Below are 12,889 nucleotides of genomic sequence, written 5' to 3' on the forward strand. Positions count from 1 at the left end.
TGCATCAGTGTTCATCAAGGATATTGGTCTAAAATTCTCTTTTTTGGTTGTGTCTCTGCCTGGCTTTGGTATCAGAATGATGCTGGCTTCATAAAATGAGTTAGGGGGGATTCCCTCTTTTTCTGTTGATTGGAATAGTTTCAGAAGGAATGGTACCAGTTCCTCCTTGTACCTCTGGTAGAATTCGGCTGTGAATCCATCTTGTCCTGGACTCTTTTTGGTTGGTAAGCCATTGATTATTGCCACAATTTCAGCTCCTGTTATTGGTCTATTCAGAGATTCAACTTCTTCCTGGTTTAGTCTTGGGAGGGTGTATGTGTCGAGGAATTTATCCATTTCTTCTAGATTTTCTAGTTTATTTGCGTAGAGGTGTTTGTAGTATTCTCTGATGGTAGTTTGTCTTTCTGTGGGATTGGTGGTGATATCCCCTTTATCATTTTTTAATTGCGTCTATTTGATTCTTCTCTCTTTTTTTCTTTATTAGTCTTGCTAGCAGTCTATCTATTTTGTTGATCCTTTCAAAAAGTCAGCTCCTGGATTCATTAATTTTTTGAAGGGTTTTTTGTGTCTCTATTTCCTTCAGTTCTGCTCTGATTTTAGTTATTTCTTGCCTTCTGCTAGCTTTTGAATGTGTTTGCTCTTGCTTTTCTAGTTCTTTTAATTGTGATGTTATGGTGTCAATTTTGGATCTTTCCTGCTTTCTCTTGTGGGCATTTAGTGCTATAAATTTCCCTCTACACACTGCTTTGAATGCATCCCAGAGATTCTGGTATGCTGTGTCTTTGTTCTCATAGGTTTCAAAGAACATCTTTATTTCTGCCTTCATTTTGTTATGTACCCAGTAGTCATTCAGGAGCAGGTTGTTCAGTTTCCTTGCAGTTGAGCAGTTTTGAGTGAGTTTCTTAATCCTGAGTTCTAGTTTGATTGCACTGTGGTCTGAGAGATAGTTTGTTATAATTTTTGTTCTTTTACATTTGCTGAGGAGAGCTTTACTTCCAAGTATGTGGTCAGTTTTGGAATAGGTGTGGTGTGGTGCTGAAAAAAATGTATATTCTCTTGATTTGGGGTGGAGAGTTCTGTAGATGTCTATTAGGTCCACTTGGTGCAGAGCTGAGTTCAATTCCTGAGTATCCTTGTTGACTTTCTGTCTCGTTGATCTGTCTAATGTTGACATTGGGGTGTTAAAGTCTCCCATTATTAATGTATGGGCGTCTAAGTCTCTTTGTAGGTCACTCAGGACTTGCTTTATCAATCTGGGTGCTCCTGTATTGTGTGCATATATATTTAGGATAGTTAGCTCTTCTTGTTGAATTGATCCCTTTACCATTATGTAATGGCCTTCTTTGTCTCTTTTGATCTTTGTTGGTTTAAAGTCTGTTTTATCAGAGACTAGGATTGCAACCCCTGCCTTTTTTTGTTTTCCATTTGCTTGGTAGATCTTCCTCCATCCTTTTATTTTGAGCCTATGTGTCTCTGCACGTGAGATGGGTTTCCTGAATACAGCACACTGATGGGTCTTGACTCTTTATCCAATTTGCCAGTCTGTGTCTTTTAATTGGAGCATTTAGTCCATTTACATTTAAATTTAATATTGTTATGTGTGAATCTGATCCTGTCATGATGATGTTAGCTGGTTATTTTGCTCGTTAGTTGATGCAGTTTCTTCCTAGTCTCGATGGTCTTTACATTTTGGCATGATTTTGCAGCGGCTGGTGCCGGTTGTCCGTTTTCATGTTTAGCGCTTCCTTCAGGAGCTCTTTTAGGGCAGGCCTGGTGGTGTCAAAATCTCTCAGCATTTGCTTGTCTGTAACGTATTTTATTTCTCCTTCACTTATGAAGCTTAGTTTGGCTGGATATGAAATTCTGGGTTGAAAATTCTTTTCTTTAAGAATGTTGAATATTGGCCCCCACTCTCCTCTGGCTTGTAGGGTTTCTGCCGCGAGATCCGCTGTTAGTCTGATGGGCTTCCCTTTGAGGGTAACCCGACCTTTCTCTGTGGCTGCCCTTAACATTTTTTCCTTCATTTCTACTTTGGTGAATCTGACAATTATCTGTCTTGGAATTGCTCTTCTTGAGGAGTATCTTTGTGGCGTTCTCTGTATTTCCTGAATCTGAACGTTGGCCTGCCTTGCTAGATTGGGGAAGTTCTCCTGGATAATATCCTGCAGAGTGTTTTCCAACTTGGTTCCATTCTCCCCATCACTTTCAGGTACACCAATCAGACGTAGATTTGGTCTTTTCACTTAGTCCCATGTTTCTTGGAGGCTTTGCTCATTTCTTTTTATTCTTTTTTCTCTAAACTTCCCTTCTCACTTCATTTCATTCATTTCATCTTCCATCGCTGATATCCTTTCTTCCAGTTGATCGCATCGGCTCCTGAGGCTTCTGCATTCTTCACGTAGTTGTCGAGCCTTGGTTTTCAGCTCCATCAGCTCCTTTAAGCATTTCTCTGTATTGGTTATTCTAGTTATACATTCTTGTAAATTTTTTTCAAAATTTTCAACTTCTTTGCCTTTGGTTTGAATGTCCTCCCGTAGCTCAGAGTAATTTGATCATCTGAAGCCTTCTTCTCTCAGCTCGTCAAAGTCATTCTCCGTCCAGCTTTGTTCTGTTGCTGTTGAGGAACTGCGTTCCTTTGGAGAAGGAGAGGTGCTCTGCTTTTTAGAGTTTCCAGTTTTTCTGTTCTGTTTTTTCCCCATCTTTGTGGTTTTATCTACTTTTGGTCTTTGATGATGGTGATGTACAGATGGGTTTTTGGTGTGGATGTCCTTTCTGTTTGTTAGTTTTCCTTCTAACAGACAAGACCCTCAGCTGCAGGTCTGTTGGAGTACCCTGCAGTGTGAGGTGTCAGTGTGCCCCTGCTGGGGGGTGCCTGCCAGTTAGGCTGCTCGGGGGTCAGGGGTCAGGGACCCACTTGAGGAGGCAGTCTGCCCGTTCTCAGATCTCCAGCTGCTTACTGGGAGAACCACTGCTGTCTTCAAAGCTGTCAGACAGGGACATTTAAGTCTGCAGAGGTTACTGCTGTCTTTTTGTTTGTCTGTGCCCTGCCCCCAGAGTTGGAGCCTACAGAGGCAGGCAGGCCTCCTTGAGCTGTGGTGGGCTCCACCCAGTTGGAGCTTCCCGGCTGCTTTGTTTACCTAATCAAGCCTGGGCAATGGCGGGCGCCCCTCCCCCAGCCTCGCTGCCGCTTTGCAGTTTGATCTCAGACTGCTGTGCTAGCAATCAGCGAGACTCCGTGGGCGTAGGACCCTCCTAGCCAGGTGTGGGATATAATCTCGTAGTGCGCCGTTTTTTAAGCCCGTCGGAAAAGCGCAGTATTCGGGTGGGAGTGACCGGATTTTCCAGGTGCCGTCTGTCACCCCTTTCTTTGACTAGGAAAGGGAACTCCCTGACCCCTTGTGCTTCCCGAGTGAGGCAATGCCTCGCCCACCTTTGGCTGGCGCAAGGTGCGTGCACCCACTGACCTGCGCCCACTATCTGGCACTCCCTAGTGAGATGAACCCGGTACCTCAGATGGAAATGCAGAAATCACCCGTCGTCTGCGTCGCTCACGCTAGGAGCTGTAGACCGGAGCTGTTCCTATTTGGCCATCTTGGCTCGTCAATACTGCAGTTTTATAAAGATACCCTCATTTGTAAGTAAGTAATTTATTGTTTTTCTCATAAGTAATAATAGTGATATTATTTGTCATTAAATTAAAATAAGAAGAAATCAACTAGCTTATAAACCGTTCTATATTCCTATATCTTCAAACAAATCTATTTTGAAAGTGCAAAATAACAAAATTAGAGATGGTGTGGTAGACATGGGCGAGTTAAAAGTCAGTCTAACTTTCTTTTGTCATTAAGCTGAATCATTCCTAGTAAGCCAAGAAAAGCTTGGTTCTATCCTGTGCTGGCCTGTGTAATTTGAAAGTCAGGCTCTTTCTTGGTTTTCTGTCAGTTTCTGTTCAAATGGATGTGGTTTCCTCAATTGCCATATTAAAAGCTAGATACACTAACAGTTTATGGGTCTTTTGTGAATGATTTACAAATTAACTGTGGAGCCGGACAACTATTGTCATTTCATCAGTGATGAAATTTCTCTCAGGGCAACTTTTGGCTGAGAAGAAACTTCAGTGCATGTTATTCATGAGTGTAAGTGTGCCAGAGAGCAATCCAAAGTATATTCCCACTTATCACACCCCATTAATAGAAAAACACAAACTCCTGAGATGAATTGTCTTATTTCTTTTAGAGTACTCTGCTTGGAATAATATGCGTTTATTGGAATGATTTTATACCAATCAAAATGAAAAGAGCTAGTCATGCCGGGGATATTCCTATTCATTTTTTCATTAATTTATGCATTTATTTGAAACACATTAGTTGAATATCTGATATAAGTGGTATGATGTAATTGGGTGGTTATCACGCCTAATGGGGAACTGAGGAAATTTGCATGGAAAAGAGAATGTTCATAAGGACGTCATTACTGAATGGTATAGTGTATTTCTTGGGGTCTAGAATCTAGAAGGGGTTTGGGACACTGAAAATCTCAGCATAAACTTCTGCTCTGATAGTCCAAGGGCAATCCTGTGACAAAGTTCATTGGTACTAAAGGCATTAGAAGGAAACATAAGCTAGGGGAGGGGCACACTAATTGGTAAAGAAATATGAAGAGCTCTTCTCACATCCCTCAGCAGACAGATACTACACCCAAAAATATGACTCTGTATTTTAAAAGTGCAGAGAAACATGAATGCAATTCACTTCTTTATTAGTTTCTTGTTGCTGCTAGAAGAAATTATCTCAAGTATAGTGGCTTAAACAACATGCATTTATGATCTTACAGTTCTGGAGTTCAAAAGTCCAAAATGGGCTTCTTCTGGAAGCTTTAGGGGAGAATCTCTTTCCTTTCTTTTTCCAGCTTCTAGAGGTTTCCTGGTCCCCTCCTCTATCATCAGAGTCTGAAATTACATTGTTCTGATCTGAACTTTCATCCTCACAGGCTTCTTACTTCCTCTCCTTCCTATTACATCTCCTGCACCGACTCAGACTCCTCTGCCTTCCTTCACTTACAAGGACCCTGGTGATTACATTGGGTCCACATAGGTCATCCAGGAAAATCTCCCATTCTCAAGGCCCTTCATTTAATCACACCTGAAAGGTGTTTTATCTACATAAAGTAACATATTCCCAGGTTCCAGGGATTCAGATTTGGACATCTCTGAGAGGCCATTCTCCTTACCATATGTATTAGGCCATTCTTGCATTGCTATAAAGAAATACCTGAGACTGGCTAATTTTTAAAGAAAAGAGGTTTAATAGGCTCACAGTTCTGCAGCCTGTACAGGAAGCATGATACTGGCATCTGCTCAGTTTCTGGGGAGGCCTCAGGTAACTTACAGTTATGGCAGAAGGCAAAGAGGGAGCAGGCAGGTTATGTGGCCAGAGCAGGAGCAAGACATGAGGACAGCAGCAACTGGACGGTCCTAAACCATTAATCCAATCACCTCTCACCAGCCCCCACACCCAACATTGGGGATTACAATTCAATATGAGATTTGGGCGGGGAAACACATCCAAAATGTATCACCATACCCTCCAACAAGTTTACTTTCTGATTACATCAGCCAAAATCAGCTTCAGTTGTTTTCAGTGAAGAACAATGATTGAAACACCAGAGTTTCAGGTGTGCTTAGTGTAACCAAAGACCACCCTAGACCTACTGAGTAAGATTGTCTGAAAGTAGACAAGTGAATCTGCATTTATTTTTGGCCAGGTGATTCTAATGCATAGTAAATATATGGATCTATTATTTTAACGTCACATTTATATAAAAATAGTTTTTAGAGTCTCTTTCAAGAATGCGCTTATAATTTGCATTTTCAGCTTACTCTAGGACAGTTTGGAAAGTAATGGGATTTAGTGCAAAGATCCTAGACTTTGGAACCAGACTTCAACTTGAATATCTGCTGTCATCCGGTTTTAGCTCTAATCCTTGTATTAGTCTGTTTTCATGCTTCATGCTCCTATAAAGATACCACCTGAGACTGGGTAATTTATAAAAAAAAAAAAAAAGAAGTTTAATTGACCTACAGTTCTGCATGGATGGAGTGGCCTCAGGAAACTTACAATCACAGCAGAAGGTGAAGGGGAAGCAAGGCATGTCTTACTTGGTGGTAGGAGAAAGAGAATGTGAAAGAGGACGCACTAGACACTTATTAAACAACCAGATCTCATGAAAACTTCCTCACTATCACAAGAACAGCGTGGGAGAAACCACCCCATGATCCAATTACCTCCCACCAAGGTCCTCCCTCAATACCTGGGGATTATAATTTGAGAGGAGATTTGGGTGGGGACACAGAGTCAGACCATATCAATCCTTCTCAGCTCTTTCCATTCACAATTAAGGTTGATCAAGTCCATTTCCCTCTAACAGCATGTTTTCTCATTCATAAAATGGGCCAATATCACCTACCCTCAGTATACTAATATAAAGGTGAAATAAGGTATTTATTCAACAAATAACAGTGCCTAAAGCATAATAGGTATACCAAAAATAGTTCTTTAACAAAATGCTGTACAATACGTATATCCATGTAAAACAATATCAACTACAGTATATAATTAACTTTATATACTGTAGTTGATATTTTTCTTAACTTTCTTATACTTTTGCATTATCTAACTATCCTTTAGTGAGAACAGAGATCCAGAAATTATTTCAACCCCTCCTCTGTCCAGATGTCTTTTTTCTCTGCATTTTACTTCTACAACTTCTGGATGCAGGCTCTGTTGCCTGTTGATTTTTGCCCAGAGTCTTTGATGAAGAGGCTGTGGCATGTTAATCTCTGTAATACATTTTTCTGTGGGCTTTTTCAGCCAGTCTCTCTTTCATCTGGACCTCCTTTAGCCTTCAAAGGCACAATTCAGGGCCAAACCTGAGGTAGGTTTAAGGCCTGGAGTCAATCACATTGTGGGGGCCCCTTCCTTTCTGGTTTAAAGGAGAAAGGGAGAGGTGATAAGACATAAAGAGAAGGGGTCCTTAAGCTTAAGAAGCATGAAGGCAAAAGCATCAGTATTCCAGGTGCCTGGATTCTGTGTTCTCTAACATTTGTGGGATAATTGAACACATTTGCTGTTACAGTCTCCGAAATTCACAACTGGGTGATTGTTAAATATTTTTTAAAATAAAGAATTGGGATCAGAGGCTTTCCAATGGTATTTCTAGAAAACTATCAGTAAATTTCTTACTTTTCCTTCAAACATTATTTCATAGTCAAACATATGTTATTTTCAATTCCCCAAAACTGACATACACATTTATAGTTGGCATCTGATAAGGTTATTTTTAGAAAGAGAAACTGAACTGTATTAGTGCTGAAAAAAAGAGCCAACCACAATCATAATATATCCAGGAAAATAAGTGAAACATCTGGTCAACCAGCTGTATTTTGATGTATGCATATCATAAGACTAAATTTACTAATTTTGTGAATGATTTTCGCTCTCTGCCTAAATATATTGATTATAACTCCATTTTCTTTGGAATGTGCATGTATGTAATTAGAAATGAGTACAAAGACACACTAGCAGGTGGGCCACTACAGTGCTCTGTTGAGAGTTTAGGTCAGATTTCTATGACAGAATGTCAGGTATACTACAAAAAAATTAGTAACATTTTTTATGAAATGCCTAATAATTCATTTGAATTCAACTTTGATTAGGCAAAGTCAATTTCTTTGTTCCTAAACAAAGACTTCTAAATAAATTTGTAAACAAGATGTCTAAACAAATGTGTAAAAAATCAACCTATATTCACCTCCCTTAACTATTTCCCAGTTAGAATTAACAGATGCTTTTGAGGGCAGTGTCTATAGAACTATTTATTTTATCTCACCTAATTCACATATTTCAGCTTTAGAGGGGCTAAAACACTCACAGAGTAGTTCCCGTGATTTTAAACTCGGTTTCTCAGTGTCTTGCCCTGCAGGAAAATGAAGTAGAGAAGTATATTTCTACTTCTCAAAAGGACAAGAACTACTCCTTTTTCTTTTCTTCCTAAATCTTTTTTTAATTCAAAATAAAGGTATTACATTAATGTATGCATATATTAGAAACATAAAGATTCTTCTTTGATAAGTATAAACTGGACAGTGTTTCATGCTTTGACTACTCTCTATTTACAAATAGAGAATATTTACAAAGAGGGAATGTTTTCTTTCTTTATTTTTCAGGGATATAAGAAAATCAAGATACTTAAAGATTCAAAACTAAAATTCTTCCTTCCACCTGATGTTCTGCTTTCTTTTAAAGGTATTAAGCATTAGGCACCTGCTATATGCCCAATATAGTATTATACACAATGAGAGACACAAAAAAATCTTGGACAAGTTATTTGTTCATTGAAAAAACAGAAGAAAACAAAATTTCTTGTTTCTTAGGTGCTGACTCCTCTAGAAGTCATTCAAGTCATGAGGTACTATCATAAGGTAGTAAGGAACTTGTTCCAGACAGCATAGAGAGAAGTCACCATTCCTCTTTTCTTTAATGTGGCTCCCCCAAGTTGTGTAACATCCTGCAATTTGCCATTCCCCAAGACAAGAATATGAATCCCGAGCTTCCAGGCACGAGAGGGAAGGATTCACTTTCCTAGTGAATATGAGCAGAGGGTACAACGTGAGAGGTGACTGTTGGCAAAAAAAAAAAGAAGAGAGAGGGGCCTGGCAAGTTAGAATGTCCCCACTTTACCTCTCACTATACTGAAAGGGGCAGACAAGGTGTGGGGGGATATTTGGAATATCCTTTCTCACTGAAGCTGGGAGAAAGGCAATATGTTTAGGGGCTACTCTCATGTCAGAGGGCAGGAGTTGGAAATCATGGGTAAAGATGTGGCTGGTTTGGGGTAAATGTAGGAGATATTGGTAGCTGTACCAGACTGGTGAGAGAGGATGGGGAGTAAGGCCCTGGGTACCAGTCCCATGGGAGGGGCTCCAGAAAGAGGAGGGTCTGACAAGGATGCCAGGGAGGAGACATCTGCATTACATATGTTCCTTTTTTTTGTACCAACAAGGAAATATTTATTCTTATATTTTTTAGAAAGCAAGTTCAAAAATTGTATATATATTATAATTTTAAAAGCTAAGTATATTCATATGCATAGAACATACTTTATTATTTTAGTTTATTTTTATTTTTTATTATAGTTTAAGTTCTAGGGTACAAGTGCACAACATGCAGGTTTGATACATAGTATACATGTGCTATGCTGGTTTGCTGCACCCATCAACTCTTCATTTACATTAGGTATATCCCCTAATGCTATCCCTCCCCAGCCCCCCACTCCCTGACAGGCCCCGGTGTGTGATGTTCCCCACCCTGTGTCCAAGTGTTCTCATTGCTCAATTCCCACCTATGAGTGAGAACATGCGTTGTTTGGTTTTCTGTCTTTGTGATAGTTTGCTGAAAATGGTGGTTTCCAGCTTCATCCATGTCCCTACAAAGGACATGAACTCATCCTTTTATGGCTGCATAGTATTCCATGGTGTATATGTGTCCATACGTTTCTATTTCTTCTGTACTGCTGCCTTTGAGGGGGATGAGGCCATTTGAAGTTATATTTTAGCATATAATTTCACCTTAAAATGCAAGACAGTGTTGGTATCCATGAATTAAAGAGTCTACTCCATTAAGAGTCTACTCTATTAGATTCCATGCCTATCTTTCAAACAATCTTTGAGAGAGAAATACACTCGCCCATCACATTAATTTCTCAATTTTATTAAAATGCAGTCTATCATTTTGACTACTTTGTAAAATTTACACAGATATGCATTTACACTTTATTTTCTGTCACAACCTCGATTTGACAGGAGAAAAAATTTGTCAACATTTTTCAAATGAAAAATAAATACAAAATGCATTGCTCTCAGAAAAGCAATGAGAAGAAAATGTGAAGGGTGAAATATGAAAATATACTATGACCTTAATTGGCACAGAAAAAATTAAAATGTTGAAAAATGTAGCATTATACTTAAGATTTGAGATCTATGTGATGAATTCTGTATTTCCAACTAGAGGAAACTGCCTTCATGCTAGCAGCAAATAACTGGGCTTTCTGTTATTTGGTGAGCAAATTACTAGGAGTTGCAAAATAAGAGGCATGCAAAATCATCTTAGAGCTGACTTGTTCTGCAAAGTTCAGTGAATGTAAGGGGTGAACGCTTTGTCTGGCAAGGAATAAGAGAGATCCAGGAGGTTAAAAAAAGTGGCTGCCACCCACTGCTGCCTATTAAATAAGTATTATAATATTGGCAGCAGCACCTGGATTTTACTTAAAGTGGGGGAGAGAAAACTGAACCCCTGGCAGATTAAAGCAACAGTCATGCTGAAAATGTGAATACACACACACACACACACACTCTCACACACACAGAGAGTATATAATTTTTTTCATTTGTTTCTCTTCAGGCAAATTAAAGTATGAACTTTCCAGCTAATTACTCTTATCCTGAGTCCCAGGGAGTCGACCACCTTCACAATAATTTACAGGTTTTCTCCCTGCCAGTTCTGTTCTGTGTTTCATCCAAAAAGGCAGATACCCCATTTGTATCAAATTATGCATGACAGTTTGGGAAGTAGGTTGGGTACTTCTATGAAAGCCACAAAAAAACAAGCTATTGTGTTTCATTACCAACACCACTTTCAGTTCTGGAGGCAAGAGCTTTTGCTGTTTTCAAAGATATTTTATCTCAATTTCGTGTGCCTAGTTGTGAAGAATTCAAAGTTTCCCTCAGAAAGGTTTAAAGGGTTTGTAAAAAGTACACCTCCCAGGATGCCTTCTGTTCCTTGAATTTAGAAGAACAGAGAAAAGCAAAAGATGAAACCAAACAGAGACAATGGAAAAGATTAAAAAACAACAACAACAGAAACAAATCATGGTATATGAAATCAACTTTAGTTATTCTGCAGATGAGGAGTTTTTTCTCACTTCAGTTAACAGTTCATTCGGAATGCAATTGACTTGCATTGTTGGGATCTTTTATGAGTTTTATATATGTATGTATGTATGTATAACTTTGTTAACTTTTATTTGTTTCTGGGCAAAGAATATGGGCAATATCACCTACCTCAGTAGGCTAATATAAAAGTAAAATAAAGTATTTATACAACTTATTTACAACATAAATAAGATATTTATGCTGAACTTCAACTAGTTCGGTGGGGGAGCATTCCATTCTTGGCTGACTGCTGAGGCTATGTGGTCTTATATGCAGCCTCTACCAGAGCCAGAACTTTGTCTCAAAAAGAAAATAAACTCATGCCTAATAAAGCATAGCTTTGCCTCATAATCTTATAAACTTCATACAGCCCTTTTCTCAGCATTTTCATCAGTCATAGAATTAGCTGGGTCAAAAAGAAGGGCACTTTGCACTTTAATCAAAACCAGCTGAAGATATTTTTCTGGCCCTGGGTCACACCCATAGTTGACAGCCTCCTTGGTTACTGGTTAATGTAACCAAGCTTCTCATCCAAATGTGTTGCATGTTAACTCTAAATTCAGGAGACCATTACATAACAATAAGTGGTCCAGGAGCAGCGATGAGTCCTTTACTTTACAGATAGTATCCTGACACACCACAGATTCCTTGATCCCCAGAAACTTTAGAGCTAGCAAACACCTCTGTTTTTTCATGATGTTTAATCACTCTGCCTCTTGAACGTGTCTAAGACTCGATTTCTTCACAGTCTCGAAATACAATTAAGATAATATGGTAAATGATGAAGACTTGTATAAGGTTCTATGGATTGGATTGTAAAATGGTCAGAGTTCCTGCCAACTAAATTGTGTCTCAGAGTAAGAGAGCTGAGTTGATCCTGAGACAAAATAATGAAAATATATATTCCTTCGAAATGACAGTAAAGTAGATATAGAAAAAAGAACATACTTCATTCATGCCAGGTATCAAGATTTTACTCATTTGCAGCATCAGCTGCAATTAAAGTCTTTATCTGACTATGTTTATTGATAGTCCTTGCTGGTCTCCGAAACCTATCTACTTCTGTACCAGCTGAGCTGGAGAGATAGAAGGAATGTGATTGGAGTCCTGCCTTGCAAATTTTACATCTTTGATATTGGTGGTAATGTTTGTGATTCCACTAGAAATATAATCACAATTGACCCTTGCTCAATGCAGGCATTTGGGGACTGACCTCTTGACATTCAAAAATTTGTGTATAGATTTTGACTCCCTAAGACCTTTTCTAACAGCCTACTATTGACCAGAGGCTTTCTGATAACATAAACAGTTGATTAAAACATAGTTTTTATATATATTATATGCTGTGTTACTACAATAAAGTAAGCTAGAAAAAAGTATTATTAACAAAATCTAAAAGAAGAGTAAACATTTGGTATTCATTAAGTGAAAGTGGATTATCATAAAGGCCTTCATCTTTGTTGTCTTCATGTTGAGTAGATTGATGGGAAAAGGAATTGGTCTTGTTGTGTCACATGTTGCAGAAGTGGAAGAAAATCAATGTATAATTGGATTCATGCAGTTGAAACTCATGTTATCCAAGAGTCAACTCTATTATAGTATTATTTACTTTGACTTTTAAAAAACATTCCAGAGACTTCTTTATAACCTTTCACATCAGAACAGCTTATGGTCCAGGGGGCTAATATGGGAACCTGCCAGTTTCTAAGGACATACTTCAAACATGCATTTTTGAATTGGGTAAGTGTGCATGTGATATTTTTTGACTCCTAGTAAGCCTATAATATTATAGACAAATATTATAATGCAGTTTGTTGCTACCCCTTATAAGTTGCATCTCTAGGTCACATTGACTTTCTGTAATCTCAAGAGTTAATGGAAGCCAGGAGATCCAGCATCCCC

General features: G+C 38.7%; 1 long non-coding RNA gene across 1 annotated transcript in view, besides 2 other annotated features; it reads left to right on the plus strand.

Annotated features, from left to right (window-relative positions):
- LINC02328 (long intergenic non-protein coding RNA 2328) overlaps positions 1–12,889 on the plus strand; it is a 195,101-nt gene that overhangs the window by 142,238 nt on the left and 39,974 nt on the right. The gene's annotated exons all lie outside the window — the stretch shown is intronic.
- Positions 2,662–3,301: an enhancer, noted in NCBI's record as "OCT4-NANOG-H3K27ac-H3K4me1 hESC enhancer chr14:86545921-86546560 (GRCh37/hg19 assembly coordinates)". NCBI's record gives its function as "activates a minimal SCP1, AML or CMV promoter by ChIP-STARR-seq in primed H9 embryonic stem cells {active_cell/tissue: H9 hESC(primed)}" and the evidence as "EXISTENCE:reporter gene assay evidence [ECO:0000049][PMID:30033119]".
- Positions 3,302–3,940: an enhancer, noted in NCBI's record as "OCT4-NANOG-H3K27ac-H3K4me1 hESC enhancer chr14:86546561-86547199 (GRCh37/hg19 assembly coordinates)". NCBI's record gives its function as "activates a minimal SCP1, AML or CMV promoter by ChIP-STARR-seq in primed H9 embryonic stem cells {active_cell/tissue: H9 hESC(primed)}" and the evidence as "EXISTENCE:reporter gene assay evidence [ECO:0000049][PMID:30033119]".

Source organism: Homo sapiens, chromosome 14 (assembly GCF_000001405.40).
Source record: "Homo sapiens chromosome 14, GRCh38.p14 Primary Assembly".
NCBI classification, from domain to species: Eukaryota; Metazoa; Chordata; class Mammalia; order Primates; family Hominidae; genus Homo; species Homo sapiens.